This window comes from Homo sapiens, chromosome 10 (genome assembly GCF_000001405.40).
Source record: "Homo sapiens chromosome 10, GRCh38.p14 Primary Assembly".
NCBI classification, from domain to species: domain Eukaryota; kingdom Metazoa; phylum Chordata; class Mammalia; order Primates; family Hominidae; genus Homo; species Homo sapiens.
In genome coordinates, this window is record NC_000010.11 from 110896883 (window position 1) to 110919367 (window position 22485).

At 38.4% G+C, this 22485-nt stretch overlaps 2 protein-coding genes and 1 non-coding gene across 11 annotated transcripts in view, besides 5 other annotated features; 2 read left to right on the plus strand and 1 right to left on the minus strand.

The window, feature by feature from the left end:
• Positions 1 to 3124, plus strand: part of PDCD4 (programmed cell death 4) — a 28079-nt gene extending 24955 nt beyond the window's left edge. For all 3 annotated transcript variants that reach the window (NM_145341.4, NM_014456.5, NM_001199492.2), the window contains one exon: positions 1146 to 3124. In NM_145341.4, coding sequence (NP_663314.1) covers positions 1146 to 1206 — 61 coding nt within the window. In that variant the 3' untranslated portion in view covers positions 1207 to 3124. The remainder of the gene's footprint in view (positions 1 to 1145) is intronic.
• Positions 1208 to 1273, plus strand: MIR4680 (microRNA 4680). The gene has a single exon (NR_039828.2). It is a non-coding gene; the product is annotated as a microRNA 4680 (primary transcript).
• BBIP1 (BBSome interacting protein 1) lies at positions 1848 to 22484 on the minus strand. 7 transcript variants are annotated; one of them, NM_001195304.2, is made up of 5 exons: positions 22239 to 22298; positions 21239 to 21331; positions 10798 to 10954; positions 4656 to 4730; positions 1848 to 3644 (listed from the first exon to the last, which is right to left on the minus strand). In NM_001195304.2, the coding sequence occupies exons 2-5, from the start codon at positions 21273 to 21275 to the stop codon at positions 3602 to 3604; spliced, it is 312 nt and encodes a 103-aa protein (NP_001182233.1). In that variant the 5' UTR covers positions 21276 to 21331; positions 22239 to 22298; the 3' UTR covers positions 1848 to 3601. The 7 variants fall into 7 exon arrangements, with proteins under 7 accessions (NP_001182233.1, NP_001182235.1, XP_047281961.1 ...); NM_001195306.2 differs by lacking the exon at positions 10798 to 10954 and having other exon boundaries at positions 21963 to 22484; XM_047426005.1 differs by lacking the exon at positions 21239 to 21331.
• Positions 6794 to 6873: an enhancer, noted in NCBI's record as "active region_4058". NCBI's record gives its function as "activates an Ori minimal core promoter by ATAC-STARR-seq in GM12878 lymphoblastoid cells {active_cell/tissue: GM12878}" and the evidence as "EXISTENCE:reporter gene assay evidence [ECO:0000049][PMID:35858748]".
• Positions 21632 to 21791: a silencer, noted in NCBI's record as "silent region_2827". NCBI's record gives its function as "represses an Ori minimal core promoter by ATAC-STARR-seq in GM12878 lymphoblastoid cells {active_cell/tissue: GM12878}" and the evidence as "EXISTENCE:reporter gene assay evidence [ECO:0000049][PMID:35858748]".
• Positions 21923 to 22462: an enhancer, noted in NCBI's record as "NANOG-H3K27ac-H3K4me1 hESC enhancer chr10:112678563-112679102 (GRCh37/hg19 assembly coordinates)". NCBI's record gives its function as "activates a minimal SCP1, AML or CMV promoter by ChIP-STARR-seq in naive H9 embryonic stem cells {active_cell/tissue: H9 hESC(naive)}" and the evidence as "EXISTENCE:reporter gene assay evidence [ECO:0000049][PMID:30033119]".
• Positions 22152 to 22351: an enhancer, noted in NCBI's record as "active region_4059". NCBI's record gives its function as "activates an Ori minimal core promoter by ATAC-STARR-seq in GM12878 lymphoblastoid cells {active_cell/tissue: GM12878}" and the evidence as "EXISTENCE:reporter gene assay evidence [ECO:0000049][PMID:35858748]".
• Positions 22372 to 22421: an enhancer, noted in NCBI's record as "active region_4060". NCBI's record gives its function as "activates an Ori minimal core promoter by ATAC-STARR-seq in GM12878 lymphoblastoid cells {active_cell/tissue: GM12878}" and the evidence as "EXISTENCE:reporter gene assay evidence [ECO:0000049][PMID:35858748]".

Genomic DNA, 22485 nt, shown 5'->3' on the forward strand with positions numbered 1-22485 from the left:
TTAGAAGCCATTAAAAGAGAGGGAAAAGAAAGTGATGAAAGATAGTTTAATAGCTTTACTAGAAATGTTTGGAAATACAGACGTTAGCTTGGTGATGGCAGGATTTATGTATGGATGTGCCAAGTGATATACATCAGTAAAAACTCTGAACTTTGGCCTTCTTATTATTGACTGCTTTTTCATTCCCTACCTTGGTCTCATACAGTCTGAAGCCTTTATGTTCAAGATGATGTAGCTGTTTTCCACTTAGACTTAATATGAAAAGGGGCCAGTACCCTGGCATTGGCTTTTTGAAAGTTTTTCAGCCTCTGTTTGAAAGTCTGATTGTTTCTGTGTGGCTTTATTCTCAAGGGTCACATGAGGCAATAAACTTTCTGTGTATACATACCATACAGCTTTGACTTGGGTCCTTCATCTTTTAGCCTATTTGGGTAAGGTGCACATTTGTGTGTGGTTTTGCATGCTTGTGCCTATTGGCCTGGGGTCAGAGAGTAAGGGCTAATGTTGCCTAAGTTCTATTTCCCACTTACTGCTTTAGGCCACTGGCCAGCTGTTCCTTCTGGGCTATTGCCACTACATGTAGGTAAGAGTGTGGTTACATTATAGAGCAGGGCTTCTTGAGTTTGACAAAGCACGAATCCCAAAATGGGGCATAGGCTGTAATTCTGATTTTTTTCCACATTCAAGTTATGGCTTTTCTACAGTTGATAAAACATTTTTTTTTAAATTGCCAAACATGGATATTTTGATAGGTTGCACAGCTCCAGTTTGCATAATTCTGAATTATGTTAGTGTTTCCTATTTGGCTTACTGTTAAGCTTACAAATAATAATTAGAAATTAATTAGAAATAATTTTAAATTTCTAAATAAAATGTTTTAGTTTGAGTCAACTTTTTTTAATGTGACTCTGTTTGGATAGTGAACTTATTAAAACAAAAACTCAGATTTGATATTGATGTTTTATGCTAAGATATATAGTAGGGAGTCTTTTCCAAAGGAATTAGAGGCATGCTTTTTTTTTTTAATGGAAAACCCTTTAAAAGCTAACACGTAACGAAAAAATACCAAGTTTTTAATTTTTTTATATATTGACTATAGTCAGAATTTGTATCTGTTTTCATGTCTTTTTTTTTCTTCATTACAGGGGCAGAAAGCGTTTTGTAAGCGAAGGAGATGGAGGTCGTCTTAAACCAGAGAGCTACTGAATATAAGAACTCTTGCAGTCTTAGATGTTATAAAAATATATATCTGAATTGTAAGAGTTGTTAGCACAAGTTTTTTTTTTTTTTTTTTTTAAGCACTTGTTTTGGGTACAAGGCATTTCTGACATTTTATAAACCTACATTTAAGGGGAATTTTTAAAGGAAATGTTTTTTCTTTTTTTTTTGTTTTTCGAGGGGGCAAGGAGGGACAGAAAAGTAACCTCTTCTTAAGTGGAATATTCTAATAAGCTACCTTTTGTAAGTGCCATGTTTATTATCTAATCATTCCAAGTTTTGCATTGATGTCTGACTGCCACTCCTTTCTTTCAAGGACAGTGTTTTTTGTAGTAAAATCACTGGTTTATACAAAGCTTTATTTAGGGGGTAAAGTTAAGCTGCTAAAACCCCATGTTGGCTGCTGCTGTTGAGATACTGTGCTTTGGGAGTAAAAAAAGAAAGTTATTTCTTTGTCTTAAAGAATTTTTAAAAAATTAGTCATGAGACTTATTCATCTTTCCAGGGAACATACTGATTGGTCTTAAAAGACTAGACAGTTAAGTAAAAGGTGGCTGGAACATCTATTTTTCTACAAAACTGGAAAAATGAACCTGGTTCTAGAAGAATGTACACCAAAATAAAACATGTGAAGCAGTATTGATTCTTTATTGGGAGTACATTTTTTTAGGTCTCTTAAACTTTAATTTCACACAGTAAATTTTGAATCTCATAAGGAAGCATATTTGAACCTAGTCAATTTAATCTTAGTGTTCCCTTGAAAACTTTTTTTCCCTACAAAATTTTAAGTGAAAAATACAATAGTAAATTAAGATTACACTGGGGAAAAAAATGCAGGTATCACTTTACTCCATTGTTATCTGACCTAGAGCTTAATTAAGTTTTAGAAATATGTAATACCTTCCATCATTCCATCATCCTTAAATTCTGTTACCAAATAATGGCTAATGTTACAAAAAGTTATACTCCAGAGACCCAAAGCTTGACATTTACCTAATGTATGAGAAAATATTACCAATTAACAATAAAGAATGATCATATTTTTAACCTCTTTTACATAGCCTAATAACTCAGCAAGGCCTCAACGTCTGTGCTAATTTAAACTGCCAAATATTGACTGCAGCAAACAAGAATTATATTCAGAATTTATGAGGGTACTGTTAGGAGTATACTGCTTACAGGTTTAGATATAGTCTGTTAGAATTAAAACCAAGTTTAGTGTTCATATTTACCTCATGGGCTTTATCAAGCCCATATTACCTCAGCTTATATATAGTTACCATTTTTAGGTTTTTAATTGTTTGACACTTGGATGATAAATGCAGTCATTTTATTCTCAAGTGCTTAAAATTAATGTAATTAAAAGCTTAGCTGACTACAGAATAGGTGAGGGTTTCTTAAAAATGAGATTTAAGGGCTGGGCACGGTGGCTCATGCCTGTAATCCCAGCACTTTGGGAGGCCGAGGTGGGCGGATCACTTGAGGTTGGGAGTTCATGACCAGCTTGACCAACATGAAGAAACCCTGTCTCTATTAAAAATACAAAAGTAGCCAGGCATGGTGGCGCATGCGTGTAATCCCAGCTACTTGGGAGGCTGAGGCAGGAGAATTGCTTGAACCTGGGAGGCAGAGGTTGCAGTGAGTCGAGATGGTGCCATTGCTCTCGTTTGGGCAACAAGAGTGAAACTCTTGTCTCAAAAAAAAAAAAAAATGAGGTTTAAGACAGTTTTGTCATTACTGGTGGGATCTGGTCACACAAGATAGCATTAAACGTGACATGGCACATAAAATTGGTTAAAAAATTTTGTTTTTTAATTACGTAATGTAAAAGCCCAACAAACACTTTATGCAAGATTGGAATGTATCTTCAAATTCAGATTTAATAAACATGTAAAGATCCTCTGTATATAAAAGTTGTATTTAATCCCTTGTGCCCAAGAATGCTATAAAAGATCCCAAGAATGTTATCTATAAAAGATAGCAATAGGAATGGTGAACAAATAATTTAATTTGCAATTCTAAAAACATGACTTAAACCCCATAAAACTTGGTTCATAGTTTAACTGTTTATGTTCAATACAAACCAGAGTGTTTACATTCACAATACAAATTTCATCAATCTTGGATATTTTTGTATTTCTATGAATACTATCAATTTTATTGATAACACATACTACTTTCAGCACACAGAAGCATATTTTCTAGTTATTGTTAAATAGTAGATAAGGCAGGTTGTTCCCTAAAGTGCTCAGTTATCATTCAGTGGGTTATTTGCCGTTGATCCTTTTCTGCCATTTCTTGTTGGCGAATTGTATTCTGTGCTGCTTGATGCATTTTCTCTAGTTTTTCCAGAGTCAGAGATTTTAAGGGTAAAAGTTTGGGTTTACACAGCACCATTGTCATTATATCTTCCACAAACAGTGGCCCTAAGTTTAACAAGAAATAAGAATTAATTCAAGAAAGATAACCCAGTTGTTTGTAGTTGGATTTGCAGCTAGAATGAAGGTCTAAAAAATTAATCTCTTGTCACTGAAAAACTCTTGTACCTAAATTGAGTTTTGCTCTGGAACCAGAAAGATCATTGTCATTCTATAAGCGCATTTCTTACTAGTAGGGTGCTTCTGAGGAAGACAAGTTTTGAGCGTTCTACCCAAGAATCTATGCTACCATAAGACACAACTTTTTGTGTCAGAAGTTTAATCTTAAAATAAGATTTGGCAGAATATATATATACATAGTGCAAAAAAATATAGCAAAATATGATATTTAACGTAAATATTCAAATGACTGAAGGTTTAAACCTTCGGCTTTTCTTACTGTTGCTTCAGGTTTCTCTTTCTCCACTTTCAGACCTTATTTAACATAGTAAATTCCATTATTTCTTTCACTGAAGTTTCATATTGAGTAGGGCATGGTAGCTCTTACCTGTTATCCCAGCACTTTGGGATGCCAAAGGGGTTGGATTGTTTGTTTGAGCCCAGGGGTTTGAGACCAGCCTAGGCAACACATTGAGATCCCTTCTCTACAAAAATAAGAACAAATTAGCCAGGCATGGTAGCACATGCCTGTAGTACTAGCAAATCAGTAGGCTAGGGCAGGAGCCCAGTAGTTCAAGGCTGCGGTGAGCTACGGTTGTGCCAGCTGTACCCAAGCCTGGGTGGCAGAGTGACAACCTGTCTCTTAAAAAAAATTCATATTGTAATTAGGAATTTTAGGAATTAGCTAATTAATAGGCAATTTTAGGTATAAGAAACAATGTTTCATTTGTTATCCTTTTACTGGATGTCATGAAAAAGCATATAGTAAAAGACAGTAAATGAGATAATACGGAACACAATAGCTGCAGATGTTTAGCTATTAAGCCTGCTATGTGACACTGCCTATGACTTCTTTAGTCCTGTAATAATCAATGACCTCAATATTTGTGATGTACATACCTTGCTTTGGAAGAACTTCCCGGAACATTGACTTCACTTCTGCCATATCTGAGTTGTTGGATATAGTGTTTTTTCCTTCAATGAGAAATCAGTATTATTCAAGAATACATTCCCAAAGCAGACTGCCTGAGACATTTCCATTGTAGTTTAAGAAGTAAAATCCAAATTCCTATAGAAAGTGAACTACCCTAACCTTGTATAATATTGCCATTAATTTCCTGTGACCTTGGGATAGTTTGTATAAGCATTTAGATCTTGTCAACTTCCATTAGTCAGTTGTGGTGTTAACTACAAGGCTAGGTGTTGTAATTTTTTTTCTCTCATAGTGAAAACTTGGTAGAGCTTCAGTTTTTAAGGCAAAGATGATTAATATCATCTGAGGAAAAGGTATTTGTGTGTAGCCAGCGTGGTTCGTTGATAGCATCTCCCCTGAATGGTGGGTGACAAAAAACATGACCACCATTTGATGGGGGTGGTGAGGCAGGTAGTTAGGAAAAGTAGGAACTGGCAGGCTAACATTTCCTAAGATTCCTACTTGTCTCAACGGCCAACAGCTGGTTTCTACTTTGTGTCTAACAAAAAGAATCCTATGGATGACTGACTACACAGCTGCAATTGGTAACGAAGTAATACAATAGGTGAAATTGGCTCTTGCAGAACAGAAATAGAGTTTCAGTTTACTATTTTCCTCTAATACCGAGATTCTATATGCGAAAGGACCAACAATATTTAACTATTTGTTATGAACATCCCAGCATATATGCCATTTTTGCCAGTGACATTTGCTCCAAGTATTACAGTCAAGATTCTGCTATGCTGTGTGTTCAAGGTGTTCTGGACTAAGCTGTAGAATGATCCCTTTCCAAACACAGATGCTTTTCTAGACGGTCCCACCCACTCAGTGATTCACCTTGCTGATGCAACCTTACCATGCATCTTTCACAACATCACCCCCACAGATTTATTATTTATAAAGTGGTGAATCTGGCTTGGTGCCTGCCTTTACCAACCACTGCAAATTAATTATAATCAAGTGAAGCTTCTTCTGGTTTTTGTTATTCCCGCTCCACTACTTTGACATTCCTAATAAAAGCTTCCTACTCTGTATTCAAGTCTCTTCCTCTCTCTTGCTCAGATTCTTACTCTGGAACGTCTAAGTTCCTGAAAACCTCTATCTGCTTTCCAGAACTTTGTCATCAAACTTCACCCCTATACTGCTCTAGCAGGGAGAGATGATGAAATAAGTAATGGACCAGGAATAAAGCAACTCATCACTAAATGGAATGTGAAATAAATACAATACACAATTTCCTTAGACTGCACAGCTTCTCCTACCATATTCTTTTCTTTTTAGGCCTGCCAGTGGTACCTAGTGATCACTGCCTTTTTTTTTTTTTCCAGGTTAGGATGAAGGTTACTAGCATTGCAGACCCCCTGATTAGCCTTGAATTGAACTATCAAAACCACCACCTAGCCTCTCCATTAAATACATCACAGTGAAAATATTCATTATGATCACATTTCTTTATTTGAAGCAAACCTGACATGATACGCCACTGAAAGGGAGGACATTATAGATGTTGATAAATGTGAAGGAAATACATAGGAGCTAAGGATTTTTATATGTATCACCAAAATGCTAAAGTGGTAGATAAACAACTCTTAGCTGTTATATAGTGTAAGCAACTCCAGCTACTCTGAACTGTCACTATCCTTTGTTTTCTCTTAGTCTGATAACTCTTTCACATCCAAAATCTGGCCTGACAAAAACAATGAAACTTGGTGCTCTACCAAACCTCAGTTCTCTGTTTGACTAAGCTGCCATTGTTACTGTAAAGGGTGTGGAGCCAAAGGGATGGTAGGGAGTGGGCTGCACCTAGTGTGGGGGAGATTAGTGCCAGTCACTTGCCTGGATAGAATGTCTGTTTTAATAGGGTTGGTTCTTGTTTCTAGGCCCCCTTAGGCATTGGCAAGAAAGAAACAGGAAGGGAAGGGCTAAAATAAGCAAGGTTGGATGGCCAGCACTGGCTGGGCTACACTTTGTTGATAATCAGCTGCCCTGGGAGTCCAGAGTAGGAAGGAGTACAGTCATGTGTTTCTTAATGATGGGATATGTTCTGAGAAATGCATCATTAGGTGGTTCTGTCATGGTGCAAACATCCTAAGAGTGTACTAACACAAACCTAGATGGTATAGCCTCTTACACAAACCTAGATGGTATAGCCTAATATAAACCTAGGCTATATGGTAGAGTGTACTGGGCCTAGGCTATAAACTTGTACATGTTACTGTACTGAATACAGTAGACAACTGTAACACAATGGTATTTGTGTATCTTAACATAGACAAAGTAAAGTGTTCTGCCACAATATCATGAGCATTACAACGGGGTATGACATCATTAAGCAATAGGAATTTTTCAGCTTCATTATAATCTTATAGAACCACTGTTGTATATGCAGCCTACTGCTGATCACGTTGGTATACAGACAGTATTTCCTTCTCCCACACGGCCTGCTAATAGCCAGACATGGGTGATTTGCTTAGAGTAATGCACTGTAAGCAGTTGTGGCTACTTTTAAGAGAACTTTCTTGTCAGGTGAGATGTATTTAAACCAGGGACAGATGGGCCAAGGGAGAAACATAACAGCTATGGCTGAAATTCATGTGTATTCTACAATTGCCATGGCCATTTAATTCAATAAATATGTGAGTTTTTTTATCATCTGCCAAGCATTGTTCATAATTAACAGGACAAAAACCCAAACTTTTGCCTTTTTGGAGCCTACAGTCTAGAATAAGGAGAGAAACAACAGCATGCCAGAAGGTGGTAAGAACTATAGAAAATAACGTAAAGGGGATTAAGGAATGCTGAGGGGGGTGGTATTTCAGTTTTAAGAAGAAAATCATGATGACCTCATTAAGAAGGTGACATTTAAGCAAAGACTGCTTTTGTGTGTATGAGTGCATGTGTAATGTCTTTTTAAACTGCAAAAAAGTTAAAAGTCTGATAGTATCCACAGGTAGGGACGGTATAGGGAAATTAGCACTGTTGTTAAGCTTTTTTAGAGGAATATTTTGCAGTACTGTATCTACTAAAACTAAATATGCACAATTTTGACTCATAGTAATTGGTTCTAAAGAACACAAATGTGTAAAAATAAGAGTGTTCATTAAAGCATTGTGTTGAATAGCAAAATGTTCAGCAATAGATGAAGCTGACTAAATGTTCACCAGCAGATCAAAGGTTAAATAAATCATGGAACATCCATAGAACGGAATACTATGCCAAATTAAAAAATGATGCAGATTGTCAAGGCATACCTTAAGAGAAAACATTAAATTACAGAAAATGAAATTATTCTTACATTAATAGAACCAAACTTATAATGCTCACAGAATACAGTGTCAATTCATCATTTTTTGAAGGCCTTGGTTTAGGTAAATGGAGAAGAATCTGCTGTTTCCTTTTCTTACACAGATTCTAAAGTTTGTAATTTCTCCCAGAGATAATAGTTTTGATGAACAGTGCATTCCAAAATCATGACAAGGTACGCAAACCTGTTGTAGCTATTTGAGCTGGATGTCTAAAATTAATGCTGAAAAACTTGAAGGAAAACCAAATCTTTGTCATGAAATATTTTACTCTGTTTTAGGAGTGAGAGTTAAAACGCAGGTCTAGGATGGATTATTGCCTTCAAATCAATCACATACATTTGGCAAGTTAAAAATCCCTGGTGTGGGGGCTGGGCGCGGTGGCTCACACCTGTAATCCCAGCACTTTGGGAGGCCAGGCGGACGGATCACAAAGTCAGGAGATCGAGATCATCCTGGCTAACATGGTGAAACCCCGTCTGTATTAAAAATACAAAAAATTAGCAGGGCGTAGTGGTGGGCGCCTGTAGTCCCAGCTACTCCGGAGGCTGAGGCAGGAGAATGGCGTGAACCTGGGAGGCGGAGCTTGCAGTGAGCCGAGATCGTGCCACTGCACTCCAGCCTGGGCGACAGACCGAGACTCCGTCCTCCCCCCACCCCTCCAAAAAAAAAAATCCCTGGTGTGATTTAGTTGGATAACCAAATTAAATAATGGGTGTGAGACCAGACTAGATCACTGAAGTGTCCTTCTGAACTTGGAGAATGTATTATTAGTGGTCCTCAAATTTTCTACTTGCATACTCCCAAAGAGATTTTGGAAAACTAGGTATCACTTCATACACTGATGTTTAAATTTCTTATCATAAATTTAAATTATAAAGGATATAATTTCCAGCATATTTAAAAATAACTGTTACCTCAGTCTTTTAAAAACATATCCAATATAATCTAAACATAACAGCAATTTGATAGCTACCATCATCCATTAATAAAAAGAAGATCATTTTTAAGTTAGAAGTTTTATATCATCTTTTTTTCTTCCTGGACCTCTATTTCCAACCCACTTTATTCTAGTGTAACGTATTTTCATGCCTTTTTTTTTTTTTTTGAGACGGAGTCTTGCTCTGTCGCCCAGGCTGGAGAGCAGTGGCGCGATCTTGGCTCACTGCAAGCTCCGCCTCCCGGGTTCATGCCATTCTCCTGCCTCAGCCTCCCGAGTAGCTGGGACTACAGGCGCCCGCCACCAAGCCCGGCTAATTTGTTTTGTGTATTTCTAGTAGGGATGGGGTTTCACTGTGTTAGCCAGGATGGTCTTGATCTCCTGACCTCGTGATCCGCCCACCTCGGCCTCCCAAAGTGCTGGGATTACAGAGGTGAGCCACCGTGCCTGGCCTCATGCCTGGTATTTTAATGATCATCCTATCATACTTCTTTGCTACAAAAATGTTTATAAATTTAAACTTTAAAATATTTTGGATTCAGTTATTACAACTGGCACAAAATTGGTCAAAATGAATTACACATTGATAAAGCAATTGTTGAACATAAAAGTTATTGGCCATATATCTGTTAATAAGAAGACAGCTTTATTTTCTCAATTAGTTCACGTATATACATGGCTGAAATTTACTTATTGCTACAATTCTATTCTTCTTCCTTTTTTTTGAGATGGAGTCTTGCTCTGTTGCCCAGGCTGGGGTGCAGTGGCACGATCTCGGCTCACTGCAACCTCCGCCACCTGGATTCAAGCAATTCTCCTGCCTGAGACTCCCGAGTAGCTGGGATTACAGGCGCATGCCACCATGCCCGGCTAATTTTTGTATTTTCAGTAGAGACAGGGTTTCACCATGTTGGCCAGGCTGGTCTCGAACTTCTGACCTCAAGTGATCCGCCCCCGTTGGCCTCCCAAAGTGCTGGGATTACAGGCGTGAGCCACTGTGCCCAGCCCTATTCTTCATTTTTGTAGATGTAAACACTGAGATGAAAATGGGAAAATTTTTTTCAATCTTTGAACTTACGTTATATGCTAACAATCACGTAGTGACCTATCATCAAGAAATAATTTTAAATGACCAGCAGACTACTCAATTAGGTATTCCTTCAGTATTGTTGAAAGCTGAGAACAGTCTCTTGACTTGCAGAAGCACTACTTACTTAATAATTAGCGAAGCCCTTAGTCTTTCTTGAGTTACCAGTGTTTCCTTGTCTCTGTGTGTAGCTCCTAAGAGATGTTTATTTTCTGGAGCATTTTTGTCATAGTAAGATTCTACCAGGCTAGAGAGATGCCTTTCCTTCATACATCCTTAGAAAAATAATTGGGGGACTGGTGCGGTGGCTCGCATCTGGAATCCCAGCACTTTGGAAGGCCAAAGTGGGAGGATCGCTTGAGCCCAGTTCAAGACCAGCCTAGACAACAAAGCAAGACCTCATCTCTACAAAAAATTAACAAAAATTATTCGGGCATGATGGAGTGTGCCTGTTAGTCTCAGCTACTCGGGAGGCTGAGGTGAGGGTACTGCTTGAGCCTGAGTTTTAGGTTGCAGTGAGATATGATCACGCCACTGCATTCTAGCTTAGGTGACAGAGTAAGAGCTTGTCTCAAGAAAAAAAAAAAAAAAGAAAAGAAAAGAAAGAAAAATGGTGAAAGAGGAGACAGGAAATGAGATGAAGCATGATGGTTTATCCACAGGTCCATTTTCTCAGGGAATGCATTATCAGCAGACACTACATATAAAAGTTTAGGATCTGAAAAGTGATTGTTCTTAACCTCGCTTGCTTGTATACCCCTCCGATTGTCTTCAGGCATCTTGAAGGATATGCAAATCCTGGTATAAAGGATGGTGATTGATACAATAACCACGTTGTTCTTTGAGATGTTAATGGACTTTCTGATAAGATTCCATAGTTATTAAATTTGAGAAGCCCTGGGAAGGAAAAAAGTTAAATTTTCTTTTTAATAGCAGGACTGTTTAGAAACTTTAATATGCTAAAGTATGTGATACATTTCAAACAGGGGAGTTGAGTATATATTGTTTCCTAAAGTTATGTGATTCTGGAATTCTTTAAAAGTGCAATCATGGGACCAGTATTGCCTAGAACACACTTTGTATTCCTAGGGCAATGTCACTTTCAATATGGCATATGTAGTAAGATGCTATATCTTAAGCATATTTAAGGAAAATACCAGTATTTACAAATAACTAATTTTGAAATTAGTAAAAGCTGTATTTCTTCTGAATGTAACACTTATTAAAATTAAGTGAAGAATGACTTTTTTCTCTGTTAAGTGAAAAGTTTAGACCATCCTGGACAAAGCTGTATTTTTATAAAGGAATTATTTAAATATGAAAAGATAAAATCTTGCAAAAGACTTGTAGACTTGGCAAAAATGACATCTTTTTCTCCTATCACAAGGATATCCTGATGTGGGGGTTTCTAGTGACGCAAGTACAATATTTTGTGCCAAAATGTTAACTAATGATTACTTATGGGCCTTATTTCTACTTTCTATTACATGAACATCCATTACTAAGAAAGGGTTAAGAACAAAACTGAAGTATTCAAATAGCAAGTCATCTTATATTGAAATTTTAATTCAGCATCAAACTTACTAAGGCATAGTCTCTAGGCTTGAGGATCCTGAAGGATGGGGGTGGAGGGAGAAGAAACAGGCACATAAGCGAAGAAGCATAATGCAATATAAGTTCTATACTTAGAAGTATTTGTAAAAATGCCATGGGAACACAGAATAGGGAGCAATTGTGTCAGGTACAGATGATGGGGGAGGAACTTTAGGTGCAGGTAACAACAGTTTGTGCAGAGGCATGAAGATAGGCAACACAAAGCACATGGTGCATTATGGGGGAGGCAAGGAATGCTTAAAAAAAAAAAAAAAGAGTTACGAGCAATCTGTCTGGAAACAAACCCTAACCAAACTGCAATCAAATTGATTTTGAAGGAAATAAGGAGAACCACTGAAATATTTTAAGAATGAGAATGACCTGAACAGATCTAAAATGTATTCAGGAGGACAATTACAGGGCTATTTCAAATAGTTTAGGTGCAGGTGAAAAATGGGTGCTTCAACTGAGCACCTAGCTACACTGTGAAATCATAAAGCTAGGGAAAGACAAGATTTAAGTAAAAGCTGTGATGGGGTGGTGATTAACTCAGGCCAGCAAAACAATGATACCCTCAACAGATTTTCCATTAATCAGGCAAGCATCTTCACAGAAACAACTTCAAACTGTAAAGACTAAGATTTATATAATTTTGTTATGAAAAAGTTGGCCTTTTTTTTTTTTGAGACGGAGTCTTGCTCTGGCACCAGGCTGGAGTGCAGTGGCGCGATCTCGGCTCACTGCAACCCCCACCTCCTGGGTTCAAGCGATTCCCCAGCCTCAGCCTCCTGAGTTGGGATTACAGGCATGTGCCACCACACCCAGCTAATTTTTTGTATTTTTAGTAGAGATGGGGTTTCATCATGTTGGCCAGGATGGTCTCGATCTCCTGACCTCGTGATCCACCCGCCTTGGCCTCCCAAAGTGCTGGGATTACAGGCATGAGCCACCGTGCCCGGCCAGAAAAGGTTGGCTCTTATGTCATCTTTTGAACTTAAATGTTGTGGACTTGCAGGAGACCTACAAGTGAAAGTCTTAGAAAAAGACAGAATCCTTCGCTAAGATCTTCCCTGCACACCTATTACATATTTGGGAAAAGAGCCTAGCTCCTAGTTCTCTGTTCAAGAAAGTATAAATCTTTACAGTGGACAGAAATTGTGAGTTAATAGGCCAAATTAATGCTGTACCTTGTATTCTATTTGGAAATAAGCACTGGACAGTAAAGACTAGAGTGATAAACATGAGAATGATGTTGTTTTAGGTGACAACAAAAGCATTACTCTTTCAGAGTAGAAAACTAACAAATGTAACATAAAAATAATTTGGAATGATAAAGTACCTATACGAACAGATTTTTTCTTTCAACAAACATACTAAATGTCTATAATGTACCAGCCGTAGCTAAGTGAGAGAGACAGAGTAGGTAAAAACCAGTTTCTTTCTTTGGTGGAGGTGAGGTAGGGAATGAGACACATGTAAATAATTATAATTGAATACAATGTACTTTAATAAAAGCATGCCTACTGTGCCTTAAGAAATGAAAACCATGAAAAACTTGGCTAAGGATAGGGGACAACGGGTGGTCTCTGAAGAAGAATTATTAAACATGACATTGGAGCTAGTCCCAGAAAGCTGAATGGGGGTTTACTAGGCAGAGAAGGAGATGTATAGCAAGGGGCAGATGTTCTAGACAAAGCGAAAAATACGTTCAAATGAAGAAGCATTAAAAAAAAGTGTTCTGTCGGAGGACATGGCTAGAGTGCAGTGTGTGTACAGTGTGCATACAGTGTGCACCAGGTATTGTGGTGGGACTGACCAGCTGGAGGCCAGTTCACACTCAGTCTGCAACGCTGAATTTGGACTTCATATCCTATAGTCAGGAGGGAGCTAACTGGATGGTTCTAAGCAGTTACATGACATGATTCATGTTTTGGAAACACATTCTAGACAAAATAAAGGAAAAATGAGAAGAGACACTAGAGGAAAGGAGATTAGTAAGGAAGCTATAATTGTTTAGGTAAGATGATGAAAGTATGAATTAAAGCAGTGATAACAGACACTAAGAGGAGAAGATATGAGGTAATTAAGGGTACAAGAAGTTGAGATTCAAACATCCTCCACCTTCCCACCCCCCACTGCCAGTGGGTGATAAGGAAATGATCACAGACGACTGAAGTGAGCTAACATGATTGTGGATATACCCATATTAATTCATACCGGAAACACAGATGAGAAGGTTGAGAAGGAATAGTAAAGACCATGAGTTCGGTTTAGATTCACAGAGTGTGGAAGTCCAAGAGGAAGGTAAAAAGGACTGAAGGCCCAGAGTCAACTGTACAGTAGTACAAGCTACGGAGGTGGATATAATCACTCAAGAAAGATATGGCAAAATGGTAAGTGGTGGGGTGATGGTAAAAAGAGACAAGGGTCTAGTGTGGTGGTTGAAAGAAGCAGCTGAAGTCAGATTAGTCACTTAAATTACTTGATTTTCTGAGCCTTCGTTTCAACTGCAAGATAAAGCTTACAATGGCATCAACTTGAGATGGCTGGTGCATTAAAGATATAATTCATATAAAGCCATTAGACCAAACCCTGCATGAGAGCTCAATGAATGTCAGCAATTCTTACCATAGTGTACCATTATAATGTTGGCATAAAATTAGATTTTCAGAAAAAATAAGCTTATTAACATGTATTAGTTATAGAGGCTTATTACTAAAAATGCATGATGAAAAACCTATGGGCAAGCAAAAATATTTTAGAATTCTCCACCTCTTCTCTCAATACCCATACTCTTAAGAGTTATATTAAAGGCAGACTTGTTTAAATGTCAGGACATTTACCTTAGCTTCTTTCCTTTAGTTAGCCTAGTGGCTCTTAAATTTTAGTTTGCTTAAGAATAACAATAGCAACACAGTGTTTAGTACGAAGTCATGCATGTATTTCAACTAAGTAGATATTTTAAGGAATTTTCTGCAGTAATTTTGAAAAAACTTTTATCACCATAACTGGTGATTTTGGAATTGAATTACCCATGTGCCCATCCACCTCCCACTGCATCTCCCAGTTGCAGCGGGAGGTGAACGGGCACATGGGTAAAATTATATATTGGGTACACATATATATATGATGAAATTTAACAGACTAAAACAAGGTTTAAGAAGAGTTATCTTGTCCAACATCATATAGTCGATAAGAAACAGGATTTGAACTCGGGTCTGCCTTACTCAAAGGCAAGGTCTCTTTTCAGTTTTCTCTATGCTACATCTGTAGGATAGGGAGATCCCAAGCAGGTTTAGTACGGTGCTTCACTGAAGGAATATCAACATTTAAGAAGATGGTGGAGAGATAATCGTAGACTATGGTGTGCAGAAGCCAACAAAGGCTGAAGTAACATACAATCTTCAATTTCTACTGAAATGGGAAATTTTGAAGACACTAATAACCCTTACAAAGGAGGGTGAAAATAAAATATGAGGCAAACAGTAAATCTCAGGAATGAGGTAGACGAAAAAATAAGCGCAGCATATTGACTAAAGCACATTTCTTCCTCTATAGTTTGGGAACTGTGTCACAGTCGGACCAATATATGGCTCTAACCAACATGTAGCTTTTCTTTTCTTTTCTTTTTTTTTTTTTTTGGTCTTCTTAATTTGAGGATTTAGCATTCCAGTTGTCATGTTTGATGCCATTCTGAAATAAATCTCTTAGGAAGAAAAACTGCTTTTTGACTCTAGATTTTGTTTATAGCATTAAATATTATTTAAACACTATGTCACTGAAACTTTCAAATCCTAAGCTTAATTAGAAATATACAACACTTTAAAAGCTTACAAATTTTGCATTTTTAAATTATTTTCATCATATCACAAATTATATGACAGCTTATATCACAACTCATGAGAAGATACTGATCTTGGGTTAAACAGCTGAAGAGGGCAATTAGCTTTAGACTGCACCTATTTTCATCTAGCCATCTGGAAAATGTAAGCTGTGGTCACACAGTGGACAGACAGAGAAGGAGACTAAATTACTAAAATTCAAACTGCATTCCTGATTACTCATAACGTATACATATGGATCAGAAACATCAAAATGAAAACATATTGTGGATGCCAAAGTCAAGTCTTGGTTTCTAAAAATGTTCAGGATGGGATTCGGATGTTTTTAAAACTGTCCTCCCCACACTAAGTCTCCTTAATCTAGTATTTGATCTTTGCTGGGAGCCCCAAGGAGCCGTTCCATGGGTCTATGTGTTTATCTTCCATAATATGTGCCTACTACTCCTAACCTGTCACTACATCTTCAATGTAATTCCTTTTTCCCTCTATTAATGTATCTAAACTTATCAGCTTATGCTAATTGTACAGACCCCAGTTTTAAAGTTAGAAATAGAATCCTTGAGCATATCCTAGGATTCCGTGTGTTTTAAATAAACTATGACAGTAAAATCCAATGTGTGACCTAAATAAAACAGAAGCTTATACTAGAGTCTGTCATTTCTTTCTAATCAATCTATTTCACCTTTATGTTTTAAATGAAGTACAGGGTTGCTCTCTGGTGCTAACTAGTTGTACTCTATTTCACATTTATACTTTAAATGGGGTACATGGTTGTACTCTGGCCATGCCGCTAACTAGCTGTGTGACCTTGAATACATTTCTTAGCCAACCAGAGGTTTGGTTTTCTCATACAAAACATGTTTATTATCTGTCCTGGGTTGTAAGGGTCAAGTGATAAGTGGATGTAAAAGTCCTTAGAAATACAGTATGACATTTATTATTCCAGGACTAATTTTCATATTGCTATAATAAAGGACTTGTTCTAGATTACCATAAGGTATCTTCTGTCTCTAAAAATCTTTGAATCTTCATAAATATCATGGTACCTATAAGACAGCATGATCTATTTAAAGGTGCTTTTCTTTAAAAACCTGTTTCACTTACTTACTTTTGAAGCAGCACGTGCTGCCAAATTGTGTTCTTAAATGTTTTAAAAAGTATGATAATAAAGCAAACCTATTTCATAATAGAACTCAAAGCTGAGAAAATGTGAACAAACTTTTAAAAGGGCAGCAAAGGTTAAAACCTTTAAAATTGTAATCAAGGCAACAGAAGCTTGTTGTCTAAATTTTAATCTACCTTGAATTTTTGATGGAGATGACAGGTGACTTGTTGCCTAACCTAGAGAAGTAAATGCAGTTGACATATGGCAAAAAGAAAACATTTCTGAAGCATTTTGAGATTCTCAACAAAAGCACCACTTATGTTTTCATGTTAAGAAACATACATGTCATAAACTGGTAACCCTTGAAGCTATCCACTTAAATATTTTGTTGGTTTATAGGTTTTTAAAAAGTATTTGAGCCAATGTTTAAAAATCAGGAAATTTCACAAAAAATCCAAATTTTAGCTCCACTTGACAAATCTGGCAACGTCAAGCCCACATTTCAACATGGCAAAATTTGGCTAGGGCTGGGAAGTGATGCTTCACTTAGGTAAGCACATGCTCTGGAATTCTCCAGTCCTTCCTACCACCTATTGTTTCCTCTTACCTTACTTGCCCATCCATTGTAGGCATCTGACTTTGCAACTACAGTAAAACATATGCCAAGCTGTCTAATTTTATCATTAATGGGCATTGAGATGCAAAAATACAATCTCTGGGAACTGAAGGAGTAGTCAGGAGCAATCATGGCCATGGACTGTAAAGGATACTTTATGTAAAGAGTATTTTTCTTCTATGAATATTTATTAAGTTGGGTCCCTTAAAGTAAATTCAACCTGCCTAGTGTGGGGGTTCTGAGAGGGGGTGGTGAGAATGGTAGAATAACAAAATTTTTATCTTTTGTCTTATCCAAGACTTGTGGTTAACTGACAGATGAATTTTCAAAAACATACTAGATTTCTGAATGTAAATATGAGAAAAAGGTGAAAAGGGGAGCCCAGAAAGAATGCATTTTTCAGCAAACATAAAGTAGTAATACTCACTCTTACTCAACTGCCCACATGCTAGCAGAATGCTTAATTTGGATTGATAATGTTTATCTGGAGATGCCAAGTAACATATGACATCATATGTCATATGTCGGAGACTACAGCAGATTCTATTCTGCTTTGCTATCTGGCATCTGCTGGTAGAAAAATGTTGCAACGTGTTCAATTTAGCTAATTAATTCAAGCTCATGTGAATAAAATGTGTGGTGTCTAGCTTCTGAAATGTACCTAGGCCTAAGAATGGGAATTCTTGGGTGAACTTGGATGATGCCACTGGCTCTGGGAAAATCCAGTAGCAGACACTACTATTAAGTTAGTAATGATACATCCTACTCATGCAAAATGTCTTTTTCTAATAACCCTTCCTATTTCAAAATTCAGTAGTAGACAGTGGTCCTAAAAATGTTAGCTATTAACCTTTTAAAAAAAGTATTTGCTCAGCACCTGAGATATTTAGTTAGCTATTTCAACAGTGTGCAAGGAAAGAGAAAAGTTGTTTGATACTTTACAGAGTGCTGCTTAAAGCCCAGTCCCCAAATCATCGCATCAAAACTCCCTGTACAATTATTAAAAATACAGATTTTTCTGGAGTTCTTCAGAAATCAGAATTGCTGAATCAGAATACTTTTTCTTTTTTTGTTTTTTTAAGACAGGGTCTCGCTCTGTTGCTCAGGCTAGAGTGCAGTCGTGCGATCATGGCTCACCACAGCCTTGACCTTCTGGGCTCAAGTGATCTTCCAACCTTAGCCTCCCAGGTAGCTGCGACTACAGGAACATGCTACCCCACCCAGCTAATATTTTTATTTTTTGAGACAGGGTTTTGCCGTATTGCCCAGGCTGGTCTCAAACTCCTGGGCTCAAGTGATCTGCCCACCCAAGCCTCCCAAATTGTTAGGATTACAGGCATGAGCCACAGCAGCCGGACCCTAACTTTTAATTAAGTCCCCCACATTAAACTTAAGAGAACTACTGTCATAGATTCATTCCTTCACTCACTAAATAATCAATGTCAATATGTGCCTGAATTCAATACGTCCCCTAACTGGATTGCTTTAGAAGTTATTAACTACCATAAACTGACTGCACTCCATGTGCTATAAACCGAGGTAAAGCACTTTATATATATTTGAATTAATTCTGTAACACAATCCTTAACAGTTTTAAGGCTCGTTTTAATTTTTTTTTTCTTTTTTGAGACAGGGTCTCGCTCTGTTGCCCAGTCTGGAGTGCAGTGCTGCAATCTCAGCTCACTGCAACCTCTGTCTCCCAGGCTCAAGTGATTCTGGTGCCTCAGCCTCTTGAGTAGCTGGGACTACAGGTGTGCATGACCAAACCTGGCCAATTTCTGCATTTTTGGTAGAGATGGGGTTTTGCCATGTTGGCCAGGCTGATCTCAAACTCCAGACTTCAAGTGATACACCTGCCTCGGCCTCCCAAAGTGCTGGGATTATAGGTGTGAGCCACACCTGGCAAGGCACTGTTTAATAGATTATTAATAGAGTGAGTAGGCTGTCCAAGGTCATCCAGTTATTGAATAGTCTTATTCCTGAAACCCAGGTCTGATGCTAAAACCTGTGATCTTAATTGGTATATTATTTTGCCTTACTTAAATCTGGATTATTTCCACACAAGCAAATTCCCTTCTACACAAAGGAAGCAACTAACAGAATGCACTATGTAATTTTCAATATGATGGCTAAAAACATTCTATACCAATCTAAAAAATTCTGTCCTCCCAGAGCATTTTCTTCTGCTCCCTTATGTGCAGTTTTTTCCTTTCACTTATCTTTCATGATCAAATATAAGTCTAGGCTAGGAGGAGTATACGACGTTGGCAGTCTTGAGTTTTCCCTTTGTGATTAGGAAGTAAATTCCACAAACACTTCTCTATCCATTGGGCAGAGAACGTATCTAGTGTACTAAGTGTTAAGTATAATCTTGATTTTGCAATTTTTAATAGGCTCTGCTTAATGCTACCAAAAAGCTATCATAAAAACACCAGGACCAATTAAGACTTGCATGAGAATTTCAGTGAGAAAAATAACATTGCCTAAATTGGAATGTGACCAGATGGCCAACAGTTGCCTTGGTATTTGCTTTGATAACATCAAGATTCATCTGTATTTGAATTGCAGGGCCCACACATCTTTCAACAATGTCTGCAGGGTGCCAGGAGTTGACACTCATAAACTATGCTGACATCAGTACACTTTACTGCAGAAAGTCATTGCATCAGCTCCAAGAATAGGCAAAGTAGCAGCAACACTTTATTAAAGGTAGTCAATGTTGCCAACCCAAGGCACTAACACATACTCTATACACACAGGATTAAATGCTACCCTCTTCTTTGTAGGACACTGGAGAGGGGTAAGCATGCTAAGAAGTGAGATGGATTTAACCAGCAACTCACGGCAAAGTGCGTATAGCTGCGTTTGAGAAGGCTTAGTCATGACTAGAAAAGTGTGAATACTGTGACATATCCTTGCAAAAAAAATGTTCAGCTTAAGCCTCTAGACTAACTTCTGGTTTACAAGAAGAAAAAAGAGGGGCCCATTTCCAAAAAGACTCCTGCCTTGAACTCTTCAAAATGCCAATGTCACAGGGGGAAAAAAGATGGGGGAACTCTACTACATTAAAGCTAAAGAAAAATTTTGACTGGATCCTGATTTTTTTTTTTTTTTTTTTTTTTTGCAGGATTGGGAAGGAGAAGGTATAAAAGATATTCCTGGGTAAATTAGGAAAATTAGCACTTGGCCTAGATTTTAAAAGTTACAAAACAGCTGAAATAATGATATTGTGTTTTGCTGGAGAACTTCAAAATTCTTAGGAAATTCATGCTGGAAATCTTAAGGGTGTCTTGCCTAACAATAAGTGTCTGCAACTTTTTATGACAATGAAAAAGTGGGGAGGAATGAAAAAAAATGGCAAAATGTTAACTGCTGCATATAGATGATGGGTACATGAATATTCATTAAATTATTTCTTTCAGCTTTTAAATATATGAACACTTTCATAATAAAACACTGGGGAAAAAAATCATGTCAGAAAGACTTCACAGGGGAAACGTAAAACAAAGATTGAGTAGCAGGCGCTCAGCTGAATTTCTGATAAATTGAAGGTCTCTAAAACTTGGCTGGAAGTGTCTTGGGCATCCAAGAGACACCCGATATATTCAAACTTTCAGTAAGTATTTACCAAAATAATATCATGTGCATGGTGAAAATGACGGGAAGACGAATCTGATACAAACCATTCTATTTAGGTGCAGACATGGTAGTGAAGCTAAAAACATAAGCGCTATTATATATATATAACATACTGATTGTCATAAAAGATGTACAAAAAATGCTAAACTCAGAGGAAATTACTTCCTGCTGGGAAGAATCTGGAAACACATCTCCACGGGTAACAGAATCAGATACAGAATCACAAAAGGTGACTGCTACAACAGATTTCAGTAATTAACAGCAAAGAAACAAGAGTAGTTCATTTTGGCTGGCGTGTAAGTACTAAGGAAGCAGAAATTAAGTCGAGAAGGTAGGTTTGCATCTGTATTGTTGACTGGCTGGATATTAACCATTTTCAATTTTACCTGAAAGTTCTGGTCTTTTTGCTGCAGCTTTAAGCATCCAACCCGGTATTACCAAGATGACTTAGAGTTCTTGACTCAAGCATACAGAAGAAACTACAAGATAATGTATGATAACTTTGTAAAGGGCCATATAAAAGCAATACAGTATTTTCAAAAATCTTCAACACGTTGTTTAAGAAACTGTAGACCTGCAGGAATCCCACCACCAGAACCGCAGTCAAAGCTTACAAAGACTCAAAGGAGAGACGCGGAAAGGGGGGAAAAATCAGAATGGGAAGGCAGGTGGCAGGGGAAAAAGATTGAGGTCCTGCCCTGGTGGTAGGGGCTCATCTTTTCCTTTTATAGGTGAAGGTGGAAAATGATTTTCTGAAGTTCCCGAATTCTCCTCCCTCCAAAGGCCAAGGAGTGAAAGTACTTAATAGGAACTTGCGGAGGCGTGGTCAAGAGCTCCGTTTTGCCGGAGTTAGGAGCTCCGCCCCGAGGTCCCCGCCCATTCCCCGCTGGGGTCCTCCCGGCCGGGCTGCCTCTGGCTGGGTTAGGGCGGCCTGTAGAGCGGCCTCACCCCACAGGGAGCCTCACGGGGGCGGGCCGCCGCCAGGCCAGCCCGGAAAAAAACCGCCTTCCAACGGAAGCGGCCCTGAGCCCCGCTCGCCATTTCAGCGCTCTGTCCCACAGGGACCGTCCGGCCCGGGTCCGGCCCACTGGTTGGGGTCCACGGACTCACCTCACTTTGCAACTAAGGTCAAAAATAAGCATTCCCTGGGGCACGGGCGGCCAGGCTATTAACACCCTTCCGCCATGACCCAATTCGGAAGTGCCAAATGCAACTTCCGGGCAGGAGAGGGAATTTCGGAGCCCTAAACTGTTGTCCATCTCCGTAAGTGACCAGACGTCTCAGTAAAATAAGGGCCAGGAAACTGGACGTGTAATCCGGAGTATGAATTAACTTGTCTAACATGGGATGTGTGGTCACCCACGGTACCTCTTTGGGCTTACTTACAGATGCATCCCTTCCCAGACGGCTCAGCTGTTGCCCCGGGTAACGGTGAGACTGGCGAAGGAAAAAAATCTACGTCACCCTGGAAACAGGAAGCCAGGAATCTCCTTTTGCCATTATCAGTTATGGCCGCCTTAGCTTCAACAGTAACTTCCGATCGGGGAGTTGTCACTCTACCCTGCTGGAGGCTTACTCTGTAGCCCGGCTAGCCAGAGGCGCCCAGTGGGCGGGAGACGGCGTAGAGGAACTG

Bases quoted from the DNA above. Each gene is read 5' to 3' on its own strand.
- BBIP1 (NM_001195304.2), bottom strand. From the start codon at position 21,275: ATGCTTAAAGCTGCAGCAAAAAGACCAGAACTTTCAG. The intron at 4,731-10,797 runs GTTAAGAACAAT...TTCTCATTGAAG, and splicing joins GGGGTATACAAGCAAGCGAG to GAAAAAACACTATATCCAAC. The intron at 3,645-4,655 runs GTATGTACATCA...TGTTAAACTTAG, and splicing joins GGAAGTTCTTCCAAAGCAAG to GGCCACTGTTTGTGGAAGAT.